This window comes from Homo sapiens, chromosome 15 (genome assembly GCF_000001405.40).
Source record: "Homo sapiens chromosome 15, GRCh38.p14 Primary Assembly".
Taxonomy (NCBI): domain Eukaryota; kingdom Metazoa; phylum Chordata; class Mammalia; order Primates; family Hominidae; genus Homo; species Homo sapiens.
The window spans coordinates 66,108,382-66,134,269 of NC_000015.10; the positions used below are offsets into that span (position 1 = coordinate 66,108,382).

The 25,888-nt window shown below is 50.0% G+C and overlaps 1 protein-coding gene across 23 annotated transcripts in view, besides 2 other annotated features; it reads right to left on the minus strand.

The window, feature by feature from the left end:
• MEGF11 (multiple EGF like domains 11) overlaps window positions 1–25,888 on the minus strand; it is a 358,452-nt gene that overhangs the window by 213,083 nt on the left and 119,481 nt on the right. For 10 of the 23 annotated variants that reach the window (NM_001387150.1, XM_017022670.3, XM_047433168.1 and 7 more), the window contains 3 exons: window positions 19,925–20,052; window positions 15,518–15,619; window positions 10,705–10,805 (listed from right to left, as the gene is read on the minus strand). In NM_001387150.1, coding sequence (NP_001374079.1) covers window positions 10,705–10,805; window positions 15,518–15,619; window positions 19,925–20,022 — 301 coding nt within the window. In that variant the 5' untranslated portion in view covers window positions 20,023–20,052. Of the gene's footprint in view, window positions 1–10,704; window positions 10,806–15,517; window positions 15,620–19,924; window positions 20,053–25,888 lie in introns of those variants that run through there. The other 13 variants (NR_169558.1, NR_169556.1, NR_169557.1 and 10 more) reach the window with 3 other exon arrangements.
• Window positions 7,337–7,576: a silencer, noted in NCBI's record as "fragment chr15:66408056-66408295 (GRCh37/hg19 assembly coordinates)". NCBI's record gives its function as "represses an EF-1alpha promoter that drives an FKBP-Casp9 reporter gene in an ReSE screen in K562 erythroleukemia cells {active_cell/tissue: K562}" and the evidence as "EXISTENCE:reporter gene assay evidence [ECO:0000049][PMID:32094911]".
• Window positions 22,250–22,544: a silencer, noted in NCBI's record as "tiled region #9514; HepG2 Repressive non-DNase unmatched - State 13:Ctcf". NCBI's record gives its function as "represses a minimal TATA promoter and a strong SV40 promoter by Sharpr-MPRA in HepG2 cells {active_cell/tissue: HepG2}" and the evidence as "EXISTENCE:reporter gene assay evidence [ECO:0000049][PMID:27701403]".

The window sequence follows — 25,888 nt, forward strand, 5'->3', positions numbered from 1 at the left end:
ACTCTACAGTGATCTGTGTTGAGTGTATAGTTCCATTGAGGAGACAGAAATTTTAAAAATGTATATTCTATGCCAGGTAGTGATAGTGCAAAGAAAAAAACAAAACAAAACAAAACAGGCTAAGAGGGTATAGAAAGATGTCAGGGAGGAGGCCGCCATTGCAGACGGGGCGGTCAGGGAAGCCTCTCTGAAACACAGTATTTGAGTGAAATGAGGGACGGGCCATCTGGTGCCGTGTGGCTATCTGGGGAAGAGCATTCCGGGCAGAGGGAACAGGAACTGCCAAGGCTTCCTGTGTACAGGAGGAGCCAGGAGGCCAGCGTGGGAGGCACAGAGTCAGCTGGGGCCAGGCTATGTGGGGCTTGCAGCATCAAGCAGCTAACGCCCAACAAGGACCAGACATCCAAGGTATGAATTCAGAAGATCAAAAGGGGGCCATTGGCAAGTTCCCGTAGAGAAACTGGCGCTTAGACTGGGCACAGGGTAGCCACTTCATGGGCTTCAGCTGGCCCAGGAAAACCCAGGAAGAGAGCTTACATAAATGCCTGACTGCTTCTGACACAACCAAAGGCTTCCCTTCAGAGGCCGCCCGGTGCAGATGGCAGAGGCTTAATTACATCCACAGCTGGTGATTAAGAAGCGATGCCTCAATCCTCCCACGGCTGTATCAGCACGAGGGGCCCTGCTGGCACTCACTGAGGGTGGAGGAAAGTCCTGCCAGAGAAAGCTAGAGCTTGGCCAGCAAAACCCAGCCGCCAGACCCCAGGTCTTCATCCCCTTGACCAAGTCCTTGAACACAGCCATCCATGGCTCACCCATCCCTGCACACCCCCCATAACTTGCCTTTCACCACCTTCACTGGTGGTCCATGCTGCTGCCCCCAGAGCAACCACTCCCTGATACCACCTCACGGCATCGCTTGCTACTTAAACCCCTTGTTGACCTCATGAGATTGTCCGGGCAGTGTCCTGACCCCTCTGCTGTCTCCCACGTCTCGCCTTTGCTCATGCTGCCCCTCTGCCAGACGAGGCCCTCCCTCACAAAAGTAAACCAAGAACAATAGCTAAGTTTTACTGAGCTCTTCACATGCCAGGCCCTCTACTAAATGCTTTATTTGTAGCAACTCATTGAATCTTCACAACAGCCCGAAGAGGTAGTTACCCAATGGGACTCTGTTTTACAGATGAGAAAGCCGAGGTATGGAGAGGCAAAACAACGTGCTCGGGGGCACACAGCTAGCAGAGGAAGTGAGTGGAGTCACTCTCCGGCCGGCTGAGGTCTGAAGCTCCATCTTACCCACTGCCCATCTCTTGTTCTCCTGGTGAATTCCTACTCATCTTTCAGACTCAGCTCAAAACTCACCTCCCTGAAGGGGTCTTTCTTGACCCCCATTCCTTCCATCCCTAGATAAAGCTAGTTGCCTCTCCCTAAGAGGTCTCTCAGTATTTGTGGTATGAGTCTATTTCACTCACTCACTAAATTCAGTGGTTTATCAGTACTCAGGGCTGGACACCGTGCCTGGCCCTGGGGAAAGCCTCGCAGAGACTTGATCCCTCTGCCTCAGGAACTCACTTCTGAGTGAGAGAGATGGACAGGCACAGCAGCTTCACAACCAGCAGGACAAGGGTGCAGAGGGGCCCCGGGGTGGCAGGGCCAAGGGAGAGACAGGATGGTGGGTACAGAGTACTTGTACCAACCACCGTGTGGCTCCCAAACAGGCGGAGTTCCAGGGTGGAACAGGAGGAATCCAACATAGGCATTAACAGAAGGGGGAATCCAGACAGACCACCAGGCATTGTGGGTGCCCAGACCATGAATTCACTCTTTCAACAATTATTTATTGAGGGCCTGACAAGCACTAACAAGTGGACAAGGACAACTCTTTGGTAGTTACATTTCTCATTGCAAATGAATTAATTGGTATCAGGGTTAAGCATCCGTATTTATGAGTTTGGTCAGTGTGAATCATCACCTGGGTCTCAGCTACTCTGAACATTCTAAATCAATGTTCTAAGCCCACGGACTGGGGACCAGACCACGGTGGCTGCATTAACTTTGACCTCTCAGTGGGGCTCTGTCGGGGGTGGACGGGCAGCTATGCCTTCCTTGCCTCCCTATTTAAACTGTGCTTATCCTTCTGTGATGGCATCTCTCCCGCTAGACCATGTGCTTCTTATTCATCTCTGCATCCCCAGGACCTAGTAGTACCTGCAAGGCATAGATATCTAATAATAATAAATGGTGATGGATGGATGTTGTTCTTCTAGGCAGCAAAGCTCAGCACCAGGTGTTGGTGACCCAAGAGAGTGGTGTCAACACTGTTTCTGGTGATGGCAGCAGGCAAGACTCCTTGGGGAGCCTCTTAGAGGTTTAGCAGGGAGTTTTTACCTAGCAGCTAGGGAGAGGCTGAGTTTCAGACAGGCCCCACCATGCTGCTTACACATATGCCCTTTCCTCCACCCCCCATGCCCTCTTGGCACCTTGATCCTGGCACCTGTTAGGACCCACACCTTAGCAAAAATTTGAGCTCAAACCAGTATAGCTTCAGTCCCCTCCTCCCCCTCCAAACCTCCTCCCCTGCCCTCTTGACTGACCCCACTTCTCTCTTCTGGCCACAGGTTTCTCCTACTCAGAGAAAACCCACTGTAGGAGGGGAAAGTACAGGATTTAAAGTCGCACTCATCTGAAATCTGGGCCTGCCACTTATCCATGTGGACAAGTCACTTAGCCTCTCTGAGCTTCAGTTTTCTGTCCTGTAAAAGGGCAGTAACAATAATGCTCACTTCTCCAGTCTACTGAGCAGATGATATACTGCAGGTGAAAGCGCCGGCTAAACCACCAGACATTACACAATTGTCATTATTATGGTCGAAAGTTAGCAATCACTCCAAGAAGGCATTGAATTAAATGTCACAGGGGTTGGTTATAAAGCCCCCATTCCACTTCTCTCTGTAAAACAGAGTCAGTTCCAGTGATATGGAGAAAGTGCTAATGCAGCTCCTCATGCTACAAAAGTGCTCCCAAAATACAGTAAAAATATGTTTAAATGCATAGCTGAGCTCTAAGGAGAGCACGGTAAATTTCTAAGTGTTGGGGAAAGGGGGAGTTTATAGGAGAGCAGAATGTGAGATGCTGAAGCCAAGGTAGCTCAGGGAACATTAGACCTGGCTACAGCCACCACCCCCCACCCCCAGCGCAGGCTGGGAGCCAGGGACTTCATACCCACTCAAGGGCAGACTTGGCCTTGGAAGTCGCCAGCTCCATGTAGGGGGGATTTGAACATGCTACCCACCAACCTAGAGATAAACAAGGTATTCTGGATGGAGAAAAAAAGTCTCCCACAAGAAACAAAAAGCCAGGATAGGGGAACAGGCAGTGACTGCTGAATGGGTATGGGGTCTCCTTTAGGGGTGATTAGATAGAGGTGATATTTGCACATCGTGAATATACTAAATGCCACTGAATTGCACACTTTAAAATGATTTTATGGTATGTGAAATTCACATCAATTAAGAGAAAAAACACCCCAAGCCTTTACCAAACACAGCATAAAATCCCAAATCAGGCTACCAAAGTAAAGGGTGATCTTGAACCGGGGGAAACCATTAGAGTGCCCGACAAGAAAATGTAAAACTAATGTGTAGGGCCGCTGAACAATTTGGGGCATAAGGGAGGGAAGAAAGGGCTAATAGTTAAAAAAAAAAAAAAAAGTACAACCTGTACAAGGAAACAATCTGCCATAATGGAGAATCAGCAGGCTCCATGAACAGGAGAATTGATACTCTAGGAACTTGAGCTAATAGAACTAATCGCTCGAGATAAAACTATCTGAAAGAGACTATAAAAGAAATATGTTTAAAATAATTAAAGCAATAAAAGAAGGAATGGAATTCATAATGAAAGAATAGGACACGACAGAAAAAGCACAACATATCCGAAAAAGAACCAATGGCACTCCTAGAAATGAAAAAAGAAACTGAAATTAAGACCACACCAGACAGGTTAATTAGCAGAACCACAGCATCTAATAAATGGATCTAAGGAAAATGTCCAAGGTGCAGCATGGAGAGATAAAGAGACTGAAAATGAGAACTTAGGAGAGACAGAAGATGGAATACGAGGATCCAACATATTGGAGCTCCAACAGGAGAAATTAAGAGAATGGAAGAAAGGAGATTTTTGAAGAGGTGTGGTTGGCAATTTTCCAGAATTGATGAAGGACATGAATCCTTAGCTCAAAGATGATATATACCTCTGAGAAGCAAAGAGTATAAAACAAACAAATAAAAACCCCCAGAAACTCCACACCCAGACACATCCTAGGGAAACTGCAGGGCAGGCAGTGCAAGACAAAGTCCAGAACACAATGGAACACCACTTCTCAAACTGTTGGAAGAAAATGACTGAAAGCCTAGAATGTCACAGGCAGCTTAACTATCATTCAAGAGCAAAGGCAAAATCAAAGCATAAGACAAATAAAGCATAGGAGCATTGGTAACTCATAGACCTTCCCTGAAAGAACTAAAGAACTTTCAAGAAGAATGAGGCTGAACCTAGGAGAGTGATGCAAGAGATGATGAGCAAAGGAATTAGGAAACATAGGAATTCGATTTAAATTTAAACAATAATTGTGCAAAGCAACAGCAATAATGAAACAGGAGTACATAATTTGGCATAGAGTTGACGTGTCGAATTTACTGAATTAAATCTTACACTGCCTGACCCCCTGCCCAACCCCCCACCAGAATCCTCTCCCCTCAACCAGAGTCCACCCGTGAGGCCAGTCTCCCAGACCCTCAGCTGCTGGCTCCCTCGGACACCATGTGCAGACCACCTCCTAGGGTTGGCACAGTCCCTTTCCCTGGGGACAACCTATGCTCCCCAAGCCAGCCGGGCCCATCAGCTGCATACGTGCCTGGAGTTTCTGGTGGATCCCTCCACTTCTGGATTTCCTGAAAACCATACTGCAGAGGGTGGCCTCTGGCATTCCAAGCCACCACTGAAAGGGCCAGAAGATTTCACCTGGAAGCTTGAGGGAGTTCATTTGCCGGGGGGAAACTATGTCGACCAAAAGGAAACAGGAGACGGGGAATTGGGCAGATAGACTCCCCCTCCTTGCCCGCTGCAGTGAGGCATGCTTTCTCCCTGCTGCCGCCCGCAGCAGAAGCCCTGAGTACTTAGGGGATGCACCTGCTGGGCCTCTTTGTAACAGATTCGCAAACTGAGTCAGTAAAGAAACCCTTGGCTCACGCCTGTAATCCCAGCACTTTGGGAGGCCGAGGCGGGTGGATCACGAGGTCAGGAGATCGAGACCACAGTGAAACCCCGTCTCTACTAAAAATACAAAAAATTAGCCAGGTGCGGTGTCGGGCGCCTGTAGTCCCAGCTATTCTGGAGGTTGAGGCAGGAGAATGGTGTGAACCCGGGAGGCGGAGCTTGCAGTGAGCCGAGATTGCACCACTGCACTCCAGCCTGGGCGACAGAGCGAAACTCTGTCTCAAAAAAAAAAAAGAAAAAGAAACCGTTGCCTAGTGGTTCTCAAGTGTAGTTCCCATCCATCAGGATCACCTGGGAACTTGTTAGAAATGCAAATTCTTGGGCCCCACCTCAAATCTTCTGAATCAGAGACTCTGGGACTGGGGCCCAGCAGTCTGTGGTATAACAAGTCCCCCAGGTGATTCTGGTTCGGCAGCTCACGTTTGAGAACCGCTGGAGTCAAGCACACAGAACCTGTCTCATATTGTTATTAAGTGCTTACCAAAGATACATTCGAATGAGTTGTGGTTTGTGAGCACCGTGGCCATCTGTGTGGGACTTGTGATAGCAACTAATACTGCTCACTAAATGTTTCTGATCCTCTCTGCCTTCAAGACTAATTAGAGCCCTCTTCTCTCTGCCACAGCAACTAGCAACATTCCAGAGAGTTGCTGCTCCATCAGCCTAGGACCTGGGGTGAGGCTGACAAGGAGCAGGCCTTAGCTAGCCCACGGCGGACACCTAATATGAAGAAGAAATTAAACTTCACTGTTTCAAGCCACTGGGATTTGGACGTTGTCTGTTACCGCAGCAAAACTCAGTATGCTCATAACTCAGTCCTGTATCATCTGGTTTGATACAAGACTAATATTTTCAAAGAACAGAGCTTCCCAAAATGCCTCAAACTCTACTACATATGTGAAAGTCTGCTTCTGCAAGACATAAAACTAGCTCCATCTGCAGAGGCAAAAATGCCTCTGTCCTGAAAGAAGGAAGAAAGGGAAGCTTGGAGGGAGGGAGGAAGGCAGGCAGGCACTTCTGCCCAGTGATCTCTAGGAAATATTTCATACCTGGTGACCAAAGTGGGCCAGGACTCCGCTGTAGCTGTAGATAATGGAAGCGGAAAGAGGTATGAGTTGGGCAGGGGTGGGTGGGAACCTCTGGTACGGATGGTTTCAGGAGGGCTCCCAGATGAGAATGGCAGTTCAAAGGCAGACGAAATTGTACAGAGAGGAGAAAAACAGTGCCCCCCTGCATCTGTATTGAGCTCTGTGTTTTCCAGGACACTCTGGGTCCCTGTTCCATCTCTTCCTCCTTCCACACACAGGGATGGTCCGTCCTATGTCACCGCTGCTCCACAGAGGCAAAGGACTGGCCCAAGATTGCAGAGCAAGTTGGTGGCTGAGTCAGCCAAGGCTTTCACGCCCGGGCCTGCTCCTTGTCAGCCTGCAAGAAACAAGGCTCCCAGAAGGTGACTCTGAAGGGAAGATGACATCCTCCCGCCCTGCCCAGGGCACAGGTGATGTTCTTGTGCAGGATCCAGAGAACTCTTGGCATCCGATGGGTTCTCACCAGGTTCTGGTGAAGTTGGAGGTTCTCTGGCCTCTGAGCGATCTGGAGAGACAAGTCGCAGGGCAGGGCTGCAGGCACCAGCCCCTGAATGCTCCCAGGCTCACAAGTCTCCCATCTGTCCCCCAGTGCCCTGGCATCATTCTTCACCCTCTCACTACCATTTCTCCCTCTCACAAGCTCCCTCACCCTGGGGTCTCCATTCTCTCATGGGCAAGTGCCAAAGCCCATGTGGGGCCAGTTGGTGCCCCCTCCCTTTCCTCCCATCACAATAAACAAGAACAGGAGGATGCTGGTAACAGCTGACACCAGCCTCTTCAGATTTCCTATGTTAAAGTCTCAAGCTGCAGCACCTGAGACACGCCCTTATTTGGAGATAGGGTCTTAAAAGGCAATCAAGGGTCTTAAACAGCTGACACCAGCCTCTTCAGATTTCCTATGTTAAAGTCTCAAGCCGCAGCACCTGAGACACGCCCTTATTTGGAGATAGGGTCTTAAAAGGTAATCAAGTTAAAATGAGGTCATTAGAGTGAGCTCTAATCCACTATGACGTGTGTGCTCATAACAAGGAAATGTGAAGCCACGGGAAGAACACCATGTGACGATCAGAGTCCTGCCGTTGCAGCCAGGAAACTACCAGAAGCAAGGAGAGAGGCTGGAACAGACCCTTCGCCCAGCCCCGGAAGGAAGCAGCCCTGCCAACACCTGGATCTCAGACTTCTGAGCCCCAGAACTGTGAGACGATAAACCGCTGCCGGTGAAGCCGCCCAGCCTGTGGTACTTTGTAATAGCCACCCTAGACAATTGACACACCCAACCCAGCCACCTGCACCTCCCGCTGCAGCCCAGGTCTGCCCTCTGGGGTCTGGCCAGCCTCCTCACCGCCCACCTCCATGCCTTTGCTGATGGGGTTCCCTCTCCCACCCACCCCTGACGGCGTCATTGCAACCCTCAAGGTGGAGCTCAAGGCCCCGTGAAGCAGGTGGCAGCATTCTCTCCTGCCGCGCTTGACTGTCTCTGTCTAGCCTTTTTCACATCCAGTCTCTGGGCTGTTATGGAATGATTTTACTGAGTGTTAGTCCCGCCTTCCCGTCATGAAAGTAGATTCCACAAGGGCAGGGGCTATTTGTATTTCTAACTCTTCTCTTCTATCTCGTAGCACAGCACTGTGGGTGGGCCATAGTAGGTGCTTAATAAATACTGGCTTGAAACACCTTTCTAGTACACCCTGTAGCATACTCTAAGTCCCCTCCTTTGACTAGGCTGGAAACTCCTTGAAGGCAGCAACTATCCATCATCTGTATCTATGCCCCTGCATCTTGCGTAGCAAGAAGTAACAAATACATGCTGCATGGGTAACATGAACATGTGGTAACGTTACCATGCAACAAGGACCCTGTAAGGGTTTCAGGGGATCCATGAACCCAATGAACCCATGAACTCAATGCAAAGGACTTTGTGTGTTGGTATGTTTATATAGGTACTATGCATTTTCCCAGGGACAGTGTCCATGGGCCTCTTTGAGCAACTAAAAGCCAGGACTCAAACAATGTGGAGCACCAATGCCATGGAGGAGGGAACTGACATTTACTCAACCCCCACTCTGTGCCTGGTGAGTGCAGGTGTTACTACTGCCATTTTACATGAATGAAAACTGAGGTTCAGAGAGGTAAAGCCTTGCCTAGGTTCGTGAAGAGACAAGCAGCCTGCCCAAGCCATCCAAGTGCAGAGACTCTGGAGCCAGACAGCCTGGATTCAAATCCAAGTTCTGCCACTTTCCAGATGTGTGATCTTGGGCAAATTACAGAAGCTCTATGACTCAGTTTCCCCATCTGTCAAATGAGAGAAATAAGGATACCTTCCTCATAGGGCTGTTGGGAGCAGTAGATGGATCAGCGTATGTAAAGTGATCAGAATGGTGCCTGGCATGTGGCAGGTGCTGGGAAGATGATGAAGATAAAGAGGAAGAAGCTGGCAGTGGCAGAGCAAGGATCAAACCCAGACCCCTGTGATTCTGTGTCATTACTACCAGCACCTAGGGTGCCACACATCCCATCTCCCTGCCAGAACTCTCCTGTCCCCTCCTAGAAGTCTTTCATCCTGAAAGTGGCTTTTTGAGCTTGATTTCCTGGTGGACCGTCCTAGGGTCACCTGGCCAGAAGGTAGTACCCAGTGGTTACATAAGGAGTAAGTCGGAAGGTATAAACTGCCCTTGCCAGTCAGCAAGACTGGGCCTCCTGTGCAATCAGGACGCTTAGCACTTCTGCCCTGCTCTTCATTTTCCAAGAGCTTTGCCACCGTTCACTAATGGAAATTAGAAAGGAAATGTGCTCGTCCATTCCTGGATCTCTGCGCTGACGTCCAAACTCCCTTCATAATTTCCCTGAGTCCATCACTGGGCCCTGAGCTTGCGCGGGCCGCTTACATCTGTCCCTGAGGCTTTGTGAGTCCCGTGTCCTACCCCTGGTCTCATTTCGCACTACTCCATACAGACAGAGCAGCAGCAGGAAAGCCTTAGTACTGATCTCACATCTACACCTGGGTCTCAGTTACCCCATCCCAGGTGAGGTACTGACCAAGGCCTCATCCTAGCTCAGTCCTCTGCCCTGCCCCTGAGGAACGGCCTTTTAGGTGAACTGCTTTGTATCTTTCCTACAAAACCATCACTACCGAACCCATTGGAGGGTACATTTTTCATTCATTCTTGTAATGCAATTAGAATTGAGTTTCTCCAGCATTGGGGGAGATGTAACAACAGTAGGAGAAAATTGTCATTTTATTCCCAACATCAACACACCCACTCTGCCCAAATTTTCCCTCTGGTGCGAACTCTCTCTACCCACTCGAATGGCAAAGAGAATACTAACAAGGAAAATTGCTCTCCAAATGAAGAGGCAGAAGCTTTGGGGGTGGAATCTCTTCTCAGTCATTAAACGAGGGCCTCCCAGCTCCTCTGACACTCTCCTACAGTAGAGGGAACCTTCTAAGGCCCACTGGAAAGTCCACTGGCCCCATGTCACTGGGTCAGAGGTGAGTGGGGAAAGAGTCCCTTAGAACCCAACAGGGACCCTACGATCATCCTCCCAGAGAGATTAAGTGTCTTGCCGAAAGCCCCATAGCTAGGAAGCCCAGATCTACAGGCTCCTGCTCCGGGGTGCCTCCACTGCACCACACTGCTCTTCTCCCAGAGGGCCTGCAGCTGCCAGCAACTCAGCTCTTGTCTTTCTTAGGGGACACTAAGGCCTGCATTTTCTGAGCTGCTCTAAGCAAATAGGAAAAGAGGCAATGTTTGTCTTTCATGCACCCACCTCTTCTCCAATGTCCCCCAAATCCTTTTTGGAAATCCTCCCAGCTCCCGGAACCACTTCCTCATGGTCCATCTCATCTTTGCCCCCATCCTTTTCTTACTGTGGTTTTGACATCCAACAACTCAGCCTTCCTTCCTCCCTTTCCCATTTCCACCCATCCAACTGTCCATCTACATACCCATCCATCTCTCCTTCCATCCAGCAAAGCTGTCTTGAGCACCTGCACATCTTAACCCTGTGCCAGGCACCCAGCACTTCTTCTCCCTTGCTTCTCAGAGTGCCCACTCCAGAAGGAGCCACTTCTCCCCTATCCCCCATCAAGGCCTTGAACTCACGCACTTCCATCCACCCTGTAAGGAGGTTGATCTGATGGCCCAACCCTTGCTACTGTATTTGCACCAAACTCATTATTCCTTCTGAGCACTGGCAGCAGGCAGGGACTTCTGGAGCCATCTGGCTGAGGACTGCTGCCTAGGGGCCGTGGATATCAGCCCCACCTCCCCTCCCCTCCCCTCCTTTTGCCTCTCCTCCCTTCCCCACTGAGGGCAGAACAGCAGCAGCCCCTACATACGTATGCAGAAGTCTCCGCTCTCATAGTAGCCAGGGCAGCACTGGGACCTCCGCCGGTACATGGTCCGGAGGCCTCTCCGATACGCCGTCTTATAACTGATCCTAAGGCACAAGGGAGAAAGCCACTTGAAAGTATTGAAAATCAATCACTCCCATTTAGAATGATATTTGTGTTAAGCTATATTGAGGATGCCATTCAATAATTACTTTAAAATGCATGGCGACTTCAAATATGAAGGAACACAATAAAAAAATCAATAGTGGGATTTGGGCTGTTGTGATGCAGAATGTATTACTAACATGGCACTTACTAAACCTGCTGACTTTTCCCCAGTCACTTCTAAATAGAAGGGCTGCAGAAGATACTTTCTGGAGTGACATTGTGGAGGGCAACCATGAACTTCTCCTTAGTTCCTTAAAACACCCAGATTCTGGGCTTGAAGAGCCCACGGGGTGACCTGGATAGGAGTCAGGCCCTGAGGGTTTCTGTGCCCGCCCTGTCCCACCCCTCTAACAAGCCAGACTGCTCACAGCCCCCTGAGTATTGGTCCCCCCACTTGAAGAACTGAGGCAGAGTCAGCAAAAGGACCCTTTGAGTCCAACTCAGTCCCGGAGAGTAGATTAATCTCCCCCACACCAAAAATAACACCTCCGGGAGAGGAGCCTCGCATGCCATCCCTGGGAAGGCCCTGAACTGACCCTTCACCCTGCAAAGGAAGAAGCTGAGGCCCATGGAGCTGCAGCACTGGGAGTCAGACATGTGGGTTCCAGACCTTACGCTGACACAAGTGTTAAGGCTTAGCCCCATGCCAGAGGGACTATGATCAACATCTCATTCCATTCCCTGGGGCAGGCACCATTACTATCCCCCTTTATTTTATTTCTTTCTCTTTTAGAGCTTTTATTCTATTTTTTTATGTTCCCCTCAACTCCCCACCCTTTGTTTTATGAATAAGAAAACTAAAATTAGTGAAGTTAGTGACCAGCACAGCTAATCAGGGTCAGAGCCAGGATTCAAACCTAGCTCACTCCAATTTCAAAGCTGCTAGGCTTAACCTACTGCCCTCTACCAGGTTTCACAGGGTAGATTCTGGCCTTACAGACGGCCACAGTGAAGGAGTAAGTAAAAAGAAATACTGAGTCCTTAGAAGGAAATCAAAATGGGGTATTCATAGGCAAAGCCCCTTCTTCACACGGACAGTCAAAGTGGAAGAGATTTGAAGTGGCTACTAGAGACTAGAGAGAGGAAGTGACCTGCCCAAGGTCATGGAGTGGAACTTGGACCCAACCCCAAGTCCTTGGGCCTTGAAGCCAGACCTCTTTCCACTTTTCCATCAGCACCCAAGGGGAGCTTGCCCTGTGGACTCTTCCTCAGCAGCACAGCAGCAGGGTCTGGTCATCAGAGACGCCTATAGGCTGCGTTCCATGGAGGGCCAGGCCAGCTTGGGAAGAGAGTCCTGTAATACAGGCTGGGACAACCCTCCCACACCTTAAAGCCCTCACTTCATAACAAATGACAGTGCAGAACTCTGGGGAAATCTGTGATATTTGGGAATGTCGTAAGCTAAGGTCATTCAACTTTGTCAAAAACCCATAATGGAAGGAAAGCTGGCCTCAAAGTAAAGCTACTTCCCTAGCACAGAAGGCAGCTCCCGACAGTTTCAGGGGTTGTATAAGCCTCTCAGGTAAAGAATAACTCAGAATCGACTCAGAGGTCATCCAGCCTGTTCTCCCCAGCAAACAGGATTATCCCCAAGCCCCGCAATGGGGGGTGGTCTGGGCATCATTAACGCCCCTCAGGAAAGAGTTGCCACCCAATTGTTTCTAGCTCACCCATCTTTGTTTGTCCCTGTGCAGTTTGGAAAGCAAGAGAGGGAAGCAAGGCCAGGTGCCAGGCTGCTCTCAGGGGAAGGATGCTGGGTTAAAACATGCCATTCCAAACCAAAGCTGACGGAGGGTGCAAGCTGTTAGCATGCACACTCTAGGTCATCAGGAAAGCTGCAAGGCAACTTAATAATTTAGCAAAATAATTCATGTTCTAGGAATACAGCCTATTTTAATAAGCAGCCACCACCTCAGTGGTGATGGATGGCAGCCCTAGCCTCCAAGTACCCAAAAGGGCCATACCCCTGAGCAAACTTGGCTCTCCCACTGGGTCTGCCAGGGCTTTGGGAGGAGCAGCACTACTATTTCTGCCTCTGTCTTTGACCAGGGCCGCAAGCAGCCAACTCTGGCAAAATTGGTGGGGTGAAAGAGAGCATTTAGTCCCACCTCCTCATTCCACAGTCAAATGCTAGAGGAAGGGGATGCAGTAATAGCTGAGTTGCTCCTATTGGACCACCTTTCTGCAAATAGCAACTATAAAATCTAGGGGGAAATATACAAAACAACTACCTGAAGGCACTTGAGGGAGGACAAAAGCAGGCTGATACTGGAGGCAAGTGGACATTTAAGAGAAGGGAATGGTCCTGGGCAAGTTAGCACAACAATACTCCGGGCAACTAAAATTCAGATAGAAAACACACAACCTTGCTCGTTTGAAGAACCACAGGACAAGGCCAGGGTGGACCCAGCAGGTAGCAGGTGAAAGGGGAAACCTTAAAAGGTGAGAGTCACAAAAAGGGAGCCCCAACATCTTTGTAAAATCCCTGCCCAAGCGTCTGGCCACTGATTTATCCTTATGGAGGACATATTCCAAGCAGCCTAGCTAATGCTAAAAATATTAAACTTTCAGAGTTTGGAATTTGTGTTTAGCCAAGTAACCAGGCCGCTAAAGAAATAAACAAACAACAACAAATTAATATTCTCTGGAGGAACATAATAGAATCCGGTCTCCCCATGTCATTCATAATGCTCACAATATAATCCAAGATTACTAGGCATATAAAGAAACACACTGGCCAGGCGTGGTGGCTCACACCTGTAATCCCAGCACTTTGGGAAGCTGAGGCGAGCAGATCACGAGGTCAGGAGTTCGAGACCAGCCTGGCCAATATGGCGAAACCCCATCTCTACTAAAAATACAAAAATTAGAAGGGTGTGGTGGTGGGTGCCTGTAATCCCAGCTTACTCAGGAGGCTGAGGCAGGAGAATTGCTTGAACCAGGAAGCCAGCGATTGCAGTGAACTGAGATCGCGCCACTGCACTCCAGCCTGGGCAACAGAGTGCGATTCTGTCAAAAAAAAAAAACTACCTATGCAGAAAAAAAAAAGCAATCAGTGAAGACCAACCCTGAGATGACCCAGATGTTGGAATTAGCAGGCAAGGATTTTAAAGCAGCAAGCATAGCTCTGCTCAATGTCTCACAGCCAGTTAGTAGCAAAACCTCAAAGAAAACCAGGACTTCGGCTTCTCAGCACAGAACGAGTTTTCTCATCTATGTTGCCGCCCAGCATGATTCCTGAATTATCCTCAAAGAGGAACTGGGCTCATAGGAGAAAGCAAAGGAGAAATCTGGAATCAACAGATATTCAGCAACTAGGAAAAGGGCCCACCCTGGGGTCTCTCCCTTACTACCTTATTTACCCTTCAACAGCTAGTCTCTCACCCTTCAAATAGTGTCGCTTCACATGTGGCTAATATCTCACACTTTCCTCCATTTTCCCCTGTATTTTTCAAAGTAATTTTCACACTCCTGACCTCCGTGGACACTGCAGGGTAGGTAGAACAAGGTTTATTAAGGCTTTTTTGTTTTGTTTTGTTTTGTTTTTTTGAGAGAGAGTCTCGCTCTGTCGCCCAGGCTGGAGTGCAGTGGCATGATCTCGGCTCACTGCAAGCTCCACCTGAATGGCGGAGTTCATGCCATTCTCTTGCCTCAGCCTCCCTAGTAGCTGGGACTACAGGCGCCCACCACCACGCCCGGCTAATTTTTTGTATTTTTAGTAGAGACGGGGTTTCACTGTGTTAGCCAGGATGATCTCGTTCTCCTGACCTTGTGATACGCCCACCTCGGCCTCCCAAAGTGCTGGGATTTCAGGCGTGAGCCACCGTGCCTGGCCAGATTATTAAGTTTGATGAGTACACTGGGAATCCCAAAATAAAGTGTCTTTCCCAGGGTCATCCCTTAAAGCATGTTGTTTCTTCCTTCCTCTTGCCTTTCCCTGAGTGACATGATAACATATAATCTGCAGGAGGGCTGCAGACAAGGGTACAAGACTGCCATGTGCAGTTGTTCATGTTGAGCACTGCTAAGGAAAGCCTGGTCAAGGTGCCGAGAGGTTGCTGAATTCTAGCCTGCACTCTGTTCTTCAAGCCAGATGCCCTGATATGGGGCTACATCTGCTCAGGGCAGGGGGCTGTCTTAGGTTGGGTTTTCCCCCAAAGGCAGACCCTAAGAAAAGGATTCAAGAACAAGTAGTTTATTTTGGAGGCAATCCTAGGAAGTACCGGTAGGAGGATGGAAAAGTGAGACAGGGAAGTAAAGGCAGCCAATCTATGGTATATTATTGAGCAGGTTACTTCTACGGCAACTGGGGTTCCATCACTGGAGACTTCTAGGATACATGTAGAACATGGCTAAGAGATGTTCCTGCCATCCCAAGTGTGAGGAAGTTGGGGTAGTTATCCACCACCTCCCCATCTCCCCATCCCTGGTTGAGGGATGCCCTCAAGAGCATTAACTCTCCAGCACTGCTGGCCTGTACTACCCGCAAGCTCTTTTGGCCAGAAAGAAGCCATCAGCAGAGCATCTTGGGTGTTCAGAGTGGAGGCGCGTGACAACATCTGCTCCAGCGGCCTTTTTCTAACTTGCACAGAGGCAAGCCCTGAGAGCCCAGTGCCTTTTCCCTGCCCCATCATCTGAGAGAGGTACTCACCGGTGCCTGGTGCACTTGAACCAGTTGAGGATGTCTGTGCATCGTGTGTAATAGATCTGATCGAAGGGGTGTGCATACGATTCCTGGACAGTCACAGCATAGCTGAGAACCAGATGGGAGATAGGAGCCATGATTAGCACTTGGGAAGCTGAGCTGATATTCCGCAGGGCATCTGAGCCCACAGCCCTGAGGCCAAGCTCCACAGCCAAGTGTCCGGAGGCTCTGACCTCCCCCCTCCCAACTATCCTCCCCCTGCCCTGAATGCCCTCATATTCCAGCCTCCCCGACCCCAGGTTGGCCCCAGGACATATTTACTGACCTTTGGCCCAGATCATTTTCTAAAATTCGAGTTCATTTGTTCATTTAACAGAGAATGAATAAAGAAGCGGGGGGTAGTTTTATTCTGTGTGGCTCTGGAAGGCAGAGCCAACAAGTTTAAAAATATGTGATTGTTCATATCTTTATGGTTTTCAAAGAACATGCTTGGAAGCTGGTCTTTGCAGCAACTCTGTGAAGTAAGTGGCCCCATTTTATAGAGGAAGAAACTAAGGTTCAGAGAAAAGTGACTTGCCCAGCTCACACTGCAGTATCAATAGGTGCTAACATTTATCGAGCACCCTGTGTCAAGTGTTTCAATACGTTTCATTCCTCACAATCTTAGGCAGGTGGAATTGTTCTCACTTTACAGACCAGGAAACTGAGCATCAGGGGGCATAAGTGGCTTCCACAAGCTCCCCCAGTTACCTTTTACTCTATTCTGCCTCTAGTATAGCTGGGGGTACATTGAGGATATGTCCCTGATAGAATTGGTTTTTGTCATCCTGCCTGTTAGCTGTAAACCTGGACCAGCAGGTGGAAGCCACAGGGAAGCAGATCTCAGCTTAACCAAAATAAGCCTTTCTACCTGCTGGCCCCTGGCAGGGGTTGCATGAAGTGTCATTCAAGCCAGGATGCTGAAGTGAGGACTCATGTTTCCTAAGCAGGCTGGAGAGAGGACCTCAGCTGAGATCTAAGGAATTAATTTCTATGTAGGCTGGTATTATTCAGTGTTTTTCCCAGAAGGCTCACTGACCTGGGCCAGATGGCCGGGTCCAGGCTGTAAAGCACGTCTGCCTTGCCTGAGGAAACTGCATTGGTTACCTTGCAAGGGGGCTGGGCAGGCCAGCTCCCCAAGTGGGTCCACGGTAGGCTCTCTGATGCCTGAAAGGTCAAAGGTCTGGCATCCAGAAGGAGGAGGCCAAAAGCAGTCAACAATGCTCAGAGGCCTGGGTGGTGGGAAATTCTGTTTCTCTGAAGCACTGGGGATGTAAGGAGGGCTCTCGGTGTGCCCCCACCAGCTGGCACACCTGAGATATGCCTCAGAGGCACACATCTAGGAAAAAAACAGCCCAAACCCTGTTTTAGCTCCAGGCTTGGGGAAACTGAGGCAACTCGAGCCTCACTCCAGCCACCCAGAGTCCTCTTCCAGCTCTGGGATCGCATGAATCTTTGCTCCAGCACATCTCCTGAATGCCTCACTTAGAGCAAGAGGATGAATGGGGAGCGTGCACGGGCCCTGGAATCCAAACGCGGAGGCAGTAGGAGGGCGAGTTTGAAGCCTGTTGCCTGTTAGCAGCATGCTCTTAGATGTGTTGTTTGACTCATATAAGCCTCTGTCTCCTCACCTGTAAGTCTAACCAGGTTGTGTGGTTACTGTGAGGATTAAAGGAGGGCAGTAATATTCTCTATCTCTCAGGGCAGTGGGAAAATAAAACGAGATACACTATACACGTAACATGCTTAAACAGTAAGTGTTTAATAGATGTTGACAGGCAATGATTCACTTCCCGTGCTAGGCACTGAAGGATCTTTCCTCCCTGACCAAGGTGGGGAGAGAGGGAGCAAGACCAACACACAGAATGGATTCCCCACCTTTGTTAAGCACTTTGGGGTCCAGCCTCCCTTTTCAGCCCTAACATAGACCTTGGATGCCCAGAGAGAAGCCCAGCAGAGGGCTGGAGGGGGCAGTCACAGGGCAGGGACCAGGCTTTGCAAGATGCCCTGGGCCGAACGAGTCTGGCAACCAGGCCTCGTACCAACTCCAAGTTCTCTGACCCGAAGTGTGTACCCCTGGTTTCATGGCTGGGTGGCTTAACACTGCTCATTTGCTAACATGCTAATGAGGGGCCAGATTAATCTTGGACGGCCAGGCTTTACTAGCCGGGAGAGGTCTTTACACTGGGTTTTATGGTGGAGGGGCATAATTAATGAGGAGCCGCCAGAAGCACTAATCCAGCTGAGAAATTCTCCCTAAGTGGTCTCCAGGGACCGGGGTGTGTTTCTGGAACAACACAGGCTAGATCCCTCCACATATAACTTACAATGGAGCTCAGCTGGAAAGACTGAGAAGAAGAAAGCACCTGGTGTCACCAGGCATCGCCCACAAGCCTTCCCCCTTGGGGCCGGAGAAGCCCAGAGAGTCCCCAGACCTCATTCCAGCTGTTAGGTTTCACTCCTTGTCTTCCCATCCAGGCTGTAACCCTGGCTGATAGCCTAAGAAGCCTGAAATGCCAGCTCAGTTCAGCTCAGTTCAGAATATTTTCACATTCCAAATGTATTCATGTTGGGCAGGTGTACAAAATTAGTGAGTACAAATGGGGCTCAGACAGAGAGAGAAGTCAGAGGGGGCCCTCCCTGTGGGGGACGCTCCCTGGAAGAGAGGGACTCTGGATAGAGCCACTAGGGCAGGCAGAGGTGAGCAGCTGCAAAGGAGGCACTCGAGGGGCTGTGAGGCAGCAGAGACAGTAGCAGGAAGCAGGTGTGTCTTAACAGGACCAGAGGGATGAAAGGGGTCCTCTGAGGCTGGAGTCCAAAACCCACAGAATAACGTGGGGCTCTTCCCGATACCTCTCTGACCCACTGGGAAATAAAGGTTTAAATTCACCAAAGCCAGAACGGGCAAGGGGCCTGAGTAACCTCAGAATCACGTAGAAAGCTTATGAAAAATGCAATATTGAATCAGCATCTCCGGGATAGGCCCCAGGAGACTTTTTCGAATGCACCTCCCGTGAGTCTGATGTGCACTAAGGTCCATGATAACCAGTTCCTGCAAAGCCACAGTTGTCAACAAGAAAAGACAGTAACTGACGCTTATGGCCCTCAAAGCACTTTTGTGAAACGGCTGCCCTTGATCCTCCAATGAGCCTGTGAGGCAAGGATAATGATTCTCCCCACTTTACAGAGGTGGAAGTAGGCTCAGAGCCGTTCAGAGACTTCCCCAGAGTCACACAGCTTAGAGGTGGAAAAATCCAGATTGGAATGAACTGAGGTCTTCTCATCACGGATCTTGTTTTCTTCCCACTTCACCAAAAAGGGACACACCACAGTACTGCCTTTTGCTCCATCCTCAACTTTGTTGGGACACCACACACAGGATCTGGTCTCCAGGGATCACACAAGTGCAGGCACTGTCCCTCTGCCTCCCAGCTGATCCTTCCTGACCCACAAGTGTCCAGGCTACCCCAGAGCCAGGTCCTGCCTGGCTGAGGTGCCTTTCCCTGCCCTAGGGCTGGGCTATCCACCCTCATGGGCATGAAGCACGGACCCCCGCTCCGAGTCCCCCGCCTTTCTTCTTCTACCATTCACTTCTCCCATAGGGCCCTCATCTTAATTTTATTCATTTGATTTATTAACATGTAAGTGGCAGAGTCATCCTGGTCAGCATGGCCAATCAATTCCGGGGTTTAATTCGGTTTTTTCCTGATTGGGTCTCTGGTCACTGTCTTTCTGCTCACCAAAGTCAATACTTTAACCTTGTGCTTCAAAGTCAGGCCGTCTGCAGGGACCCGGCCCATTCCCCCAGGACCTAGCGCCGCAGCTGGAATGCAGCCCGCTCTTCCGCTGCAGCTTTGGCCACCCTTCCCCAGCAACACCCTGCCCCCACCAGACTGGAAGTAGTGGGACCCCCTCACCCGTCCTCCTCAGGGCAGGCTGCTGGGGCCACACATCCAAGCTGCCACGGGGCTGCCAGTCCTGGGAGACCAGGAAAGGCATCACAGCATCAGAGAGCATGCCACCTGGGACCAAAGTCCGCATCCCCCCACTTACTGCACCCCATCTGGCTGTGGACAGGGACTGAGCCCCTCTGTGTCTCTACTTTCTCATCTGTGCAATGGCTGGGAAGTGCTAGTGCAGGGAGGGGTAGGACAGTGCATCGTAACTGAAGTTAATGTGAGTTGCCTCCACCCTGACCTTCCAGACAGAATCTACACATCTCTGTCCTGTCTCTCAGCATGTGGGCCATCTCCCCAGCCAGGCTGCAGACCCTTAGAGGGCAGCTCCTGGATCTCCTGACTGCCTCTGTCCCCTACTGCCATGCCCAGGGCGATCCCCCAGAGAGTGCCTGGCCATCTGAGGCCCACACCTTACCTCTCCCAGTGGCTGCACACGTTGGGGTCCTCGGGGTTCAGGGCAAGGGTGGCTTGCAGGAAGGAGAAGGCAATGAGCCCCGTCAGGGAGAGCACCATCCCGGGCCCTGCACAGGAGAACAAAGGAGGCTGCGTCTGTGATCAGACCATGTTCCTGGCAACTACTTAGTTTCCCATCGTCGTGGGTAATGAGCATTTGATATTTCACATTGCAGGCTTTGACTAACACTGTAACAGTTCACTGGTTCTGAGTAACAGGAGAGTGGGAAGCCTGAGTCAGGAAAAAGTCCAAATTCTAGGCCAGGGGTTCTGAATGTTTTTTGACTCAGGGACTGCTCTGAGAATCCAGTGAAAGGTATAGATGTTCTCTCCAGGAAAATGCCCACAAGTGCAAAATCGGCTATAATTGCAGGGTGTCCTCAGGCCCCCGGGCCCATCCTTGGACCCAGGGACCCCAGATCTGGACTGCTTTAAAGGGAATGCCCTCCCCATTCCCTTATCCCTCATCATTGACATTCTTTGCCCATCTACTTCCTTTCCCTACTCCCTCCTGCCAAGGAGAAAGAGAAAAAAGATGTCTGGTGTGGACCTGGGGGGAAATGAGCCAAGAAAACCCTGAGCTCTGGGCCCACAAGCCATGGAAGACTGGATCTTGCTTCTTCTGTCTCCTATGGGGTATCAGCTACTTCTGCCCAGAGTGATGCAGTCATCACATGCCATTCCCACTGAGGGATGCCAGGCCTAGACCACCTGGTAAGGGACCGTAAGGAATCAGTTTGCAGGCTTTGATCCAGGCCCCTGAAGTGACAGCCTATGGCAGGTATGTGCCTACGTGGGATGCCAACTCCCTTGCTTCACTAAATTGGGGTCCCCAACAAGGGGGTCCTCACAGAGGGCAGACAACCTTTCCAGTGGGAGTGGCTGAAGTGCCTCCTGAGGTTCCTTCCTGTCCTGGCACTCCAGGACTCTGTGGTCCTCCTGCCTCAGAGAACTTCCAGTCCAAGGGTTGCGACCTGGTGGGTCGCTGACCTTGAGGGGTGCAGAGGAGCTGGAAATCACACGCACCCAAACATCATCTGTAGGCTGAATGAACGCTGCGACTCAGAAAGACAGAACTATTTTTCATGTGTACATAGATGCTATCGTGATTTATTTAAAAGCTTTACTGAATTCAGAGTAGCTTTTCTTCTTAATCAGCAACACTAAAAATTACAACTTCTAATAACTGGGGGTGGGGGTGTCATAGAAAATATTTTGACATTGGAAAGGGGTCACAGGCTTGAAATGGTTGGGGATCTATCCCGCTGGCCCTGGGTTCGCAGATGAGGAAGCGCTCAACCTACTTAGGAGAACAGATACAAGCCGGCATGTATTTTGCACACACCCCCATTTGTACCCTCAGGGAAGCTAAATGGAGTGCCATTCTTCTGAAAGGTCAAACACTCTCCTTCGCTCCACAATGATTTCCTTGTTAAACTCTTTCTCAGCAGCTCCTTCAAAGATAAACAAATTGTCACCAATTCTGTATAACCGTGGGGGTCTAAATTAATGATTAATGAGGTGTTCCTGTTTGAGATCTGGAAATCATCTGACTGAAATGCAGATTTAGCCAGATTTCAAATGAATGCATTCTGAAAATCAGAAAGAGGGGAGCGATTCTGGTGTTTCTGCTCAATGTGCAGAGTCCAGGAGTATGCAAAGCACAGCTGCTCAGAGCTCCCCACCCAATCCCCCTAGCCCACTCCTCCATCCCCAGAGACCCAATGAGCACCTCAGAAGGCTCCACACAAACTGGAGTCTGTGCAATGCCAGGGCTGCAGAGGAGCTCAGCGATCATTTCAATCCATTCTCCTCTGGGAGATTCAACCTAGAGCAGAGAAAGAGCCTGCCCGGGACATGGCATTGAGCTATGCGGAGAGTCAAAAGTGGAACAAGCATCTTCTTCCAAGTGGGGTTTGGGCTAATCAGGCATCAAATAAAGAAATAAACAATGGGACACAGAGTTCCAGAAGGCATGGAGTCTGAATGCCAGCTGTAGGGGATGCCTTGCCTTGTCTTGATTCTCTCTGTGGCCCTGACTCATTACTTGGGCCACTCCTATAATCTCCAGCATTCTCCCGAGAGAACCTCCTGACAGCATCTTCAAACTTATTACACCAAGAGTATCAAAAGATGAGGCCACCTGGACAGGAGAAGATTGTTCCTCTGGTCCCTTTTGACCCATGTGATGGGAGAGAGAGGTAACTTGGATCATTGCTGTAATTTGTGAGATTTTAAAATCCTCATGAAAAGAAAGAGAGAGAGGGAAAGGAAAGGAAAGAAAGAAGAAAAGGAAAAAAAGGAAAGAAATAAAGAGAAAGGAAGGAAGGAAAAGGAAAGGAAAGGAAGGGAGAGGGGAAGAAGGAAAGAAAAAGAAAGAGGGAGGGAGGAAGGAAGGAAGGAAGGAAGGAAGGAAATTCTCCTTGTCTCCGATACTTCACTCAGGCGCAGTGAAGAAAGAAGCCATCACCACATGGGGGCAACTCATCCCCATTAACTTTAATGGGACTTTTCCAGGATCTCTCTGAGGACAGATCCCAAAGACATATGCTTATGAGATGACTGAGGGAAAATCAATCGTGCTGCAGTGATTATTAGGCCAACTCCATTTGGAGTGACAGAGGTTAACATATTGGGCACCATCTGATTTAGGGCATTAATAATTAAATAAGAAAATGCCCCTGGTTTCACTTCAGGGGAAGAGTCCATGTAAATAGATCTGCTGGTTCTCTTCCCTCTGGTCCAGCTCTCTACATATTAGGGAGCAGAGGAAGTTGCAGAGGTGGAAAATTTTCTTTCCTTATCGGGCACCATGGCTGCTTTACAAACCCTGATGGACTGGGCAGGGCGGATAAAGGGAAGAGAAAGTGCCCAGGAGGCGTACCTCTCACACCTGCAGACAGGGTGTTGTCAGCCCACATGGCCACCCATGGGCCATGGCCCAAACTGAGCACTCTTGGTGCACCACCTGCCCGGGCCTGGGCCGTGCTGTGGAGGACACAAAGAAATAAGATGCCATCAGCTGCAGTGCACTTGAGGACTCTCAAAGCAGCAAGTGATTAAGTCCCACTGGCAGAGCTGTGAAAGCCTTTGTGGAGTGGGTGGGACTTGGACTGGATGGTGTATGCAAAGGTGGAGGCTAGAGAAAGGGCATTTCTGGGTCAGGTCCAGCCCAAGCAGTGTGTGGAGGCAGGAATGTGCAGGAACTTTGGAGGAACCAGACAGCGGAGAGCTTGCACTGCAGTACAGTGGTGGGCAGCATGGGCACCTCTGGAGGGCATTCTCTACAGCTGGGTTCTGTGGAACACTAGTCCCATGAGACATTGATAGAAATCTCTCAGACAAAGATCTCCAAGGGTGAATAAGCTCAGGAAATGCTGCTCGCTATGTCCTCATCCTAAATATTCAGTCTAAGCATTTTAGCATAGCTTAGACTCTGAGAAGACCCAAAATAAAGAGACCATTTGACTTTTTATTTCACCCAATATTTCCCATGGAACTCTTCCCAGTGACACAGCTCTAAGAGCGGTGTTCCTGATGATAGCGGCTTAGGAAACTCTGCTCCCCTCCCTCAACACCAAGTCTGAAGAAAGGCCTGGTGCATGTCAAGCTGTGTCCTGAGAGTCTGCATGCACTTGTCTATTCTAACACTCAAGGGCCTCTTATGCCTGGCACCTGGTGTTAAAGGAAAATGCCGCCAGGTTGCTTAAGGGACACTGGCATCATAGCAAACGATCCCTCCTCCTGTCCAGGGCTTCTGCTCCGGCCTGGATCGGCTTTGCTGGCTGAGCAGATCTTAGAGATGGCAGCATCCTCTGGAGGCCCCTGCCTCTGCCTAGGACCCTGCCATCATTAGCACCAGCACCTGTGGAGGCCAGTCTCTCTCTCTGGTGGCAGCACACACCTGTCCAGACATTAGTTGCTCACATTATCCAAGATGCATAAATTGGGGCAGAAGGCAGACAGACAGATGGCCTCTGCCCTGGGATCAGCTGTTACAGCCTTAAGATCCATCTAAGCAAAAATCCTACCCCACCTGCTTCACTTCCACCACTGGCTTCATCCTCCTGACTGTGCCTAAATCTTGGACGCTGGAGCCTGGAGCCTGGCCAACGTGCCTGCAGCCTGCTCTCTGTCAATCCCAGTCCATCTTCCCGTGATCCTTTGCTTCTCAACATATTTGCACTGGCGGCAGGAGTGGCAGCAGTCAGACACTATTTTGTGGGCCCAGGGAAGTTCCCACTCCCACAACAATGGGGATCTATTATAGTGGCTGTTTAGAATGCTGTGCTGAGGAAGGGGGGCTGAGTGGGAAAGCTTGCCAGGATTGATTAGTAATGTCTGTCTTAAACTCTGGGGAGGGACAACACAGGTGCCATGTACCGTGCCTATATTGCTGAACAGGTGTTACCACTTTGGAAATTTCTCCCCTCCTATATTTACCACTTAGATATGGCCTTGGCTCTTCCTTCTGGACCCTAGGACCTAAGGATTATTTCCTTCCCCTTGTACCATGCCACTAGAACATATACTTCATGAGGGCAGGGGTTTCCATCTCTTGTGTTCACCGCTATGTCCCCAGCCCCAAGAGCATTGCCTGCACATACAGCAGCTCAAGACATCTTTGTCAACTGATTACTGACTCTGCAGCCAACCTCCACCCCAACCTCTCAACCATCCCAAGCCTCAGGATCAGCCACATTGCTTGTGTCTGGCCCGAGAGAGGACACCAAAGACCCATCCCAACAGCAGGTCACACTGCACAAGGCATTCCATGTTGTGTTAACATTGCATTTGCAGAGACACCAATCTGGTGGCATCAGATACTGTACAGTGGGCACCCAGGACATCCTGAGAGCAATTCAAAGACTCCTGCCTGGACCACCCCATCAGCACCAGCGCATGTCTGCTCCCCACACCAGCACAAGGCAGGCATTGAAGCACAGGCAGTAGCTCAAGCTGCAGTTGGGGACTGGGTGTTCCAGACGCCTCATGAAAAGGCGCTTTCAGGTCTGGGAAGCAGCAGAAGCAAACCCCAAACTGGAGCTGATAAAGCAAACGCCTCACATTTCTCCCGGCATGTGGGTGGAGAAAGAGCTTTCTATCTTCTAATTATAGAAGATACACACACACTTCTCTACTTTTTTCTGAATAAAACAAAAAGCCAAGTTTGCACACAATGGGGCAAATGCCAAGGTTATCGCCCCGTCTAGTGGCCTTCCCCTTCCTCTGCCCTGGCTCTCTCAGCTGGCTCCCAGTCCCCAGCCCTCTCTATTTACTGGCCTTGCTAGGGCCTGATTAGTGCGAGATGAAAAGAGGAGTTGGATCAGCCCTCGTAATTAAGAAGCTTCGTCCTTTGCCTTGATGAAGCCTCCTGCCCTGCAGCAATCCCACCAGGGGTTGGGTTTATGTTGAATGCTTTCTAATCTTCCTGTACTTAAAAAAAAAGAAAAAAAGTTTTAAAAATAAATCCACAGCTCTTAATCTCCTAAAGAGTGATTCCCTGACTGCAGGAGCACAGCAAAAATTCTCAGCGCCAATGTGGAGTCTCTGCCAGGTGCCTGGCCCCCGGGATAAATCAGCGGGGATTGGAGTCACCTCCTGAGACAAGTTAAATGTCCCCCTCCAAGTCCCTGCTCCACCACCCTGATAAATTCTGCTTTCTCCTTGCCTGGGAAGCCTCGGGCTGCAAATCCTGAAAATGGTACCATGAGGGTTGCAGCCACCATTAATCAGGGTCAAGAGACTGTCCTGTCCCCTGCACTCTCAAGCCCAGCAGAGAGCAAGTGGCCCTGACATCAGTCAGGCCCAGAGAAAAATCACAGCCTACCCTGGAGCAGAGCAGTAGAAACCGCCAAACTAATAAAGCGCCAGCCTCCCTCCCACAACAGGCACAGCCTCTGAATTCTGGGCCCTCAAACCGCCT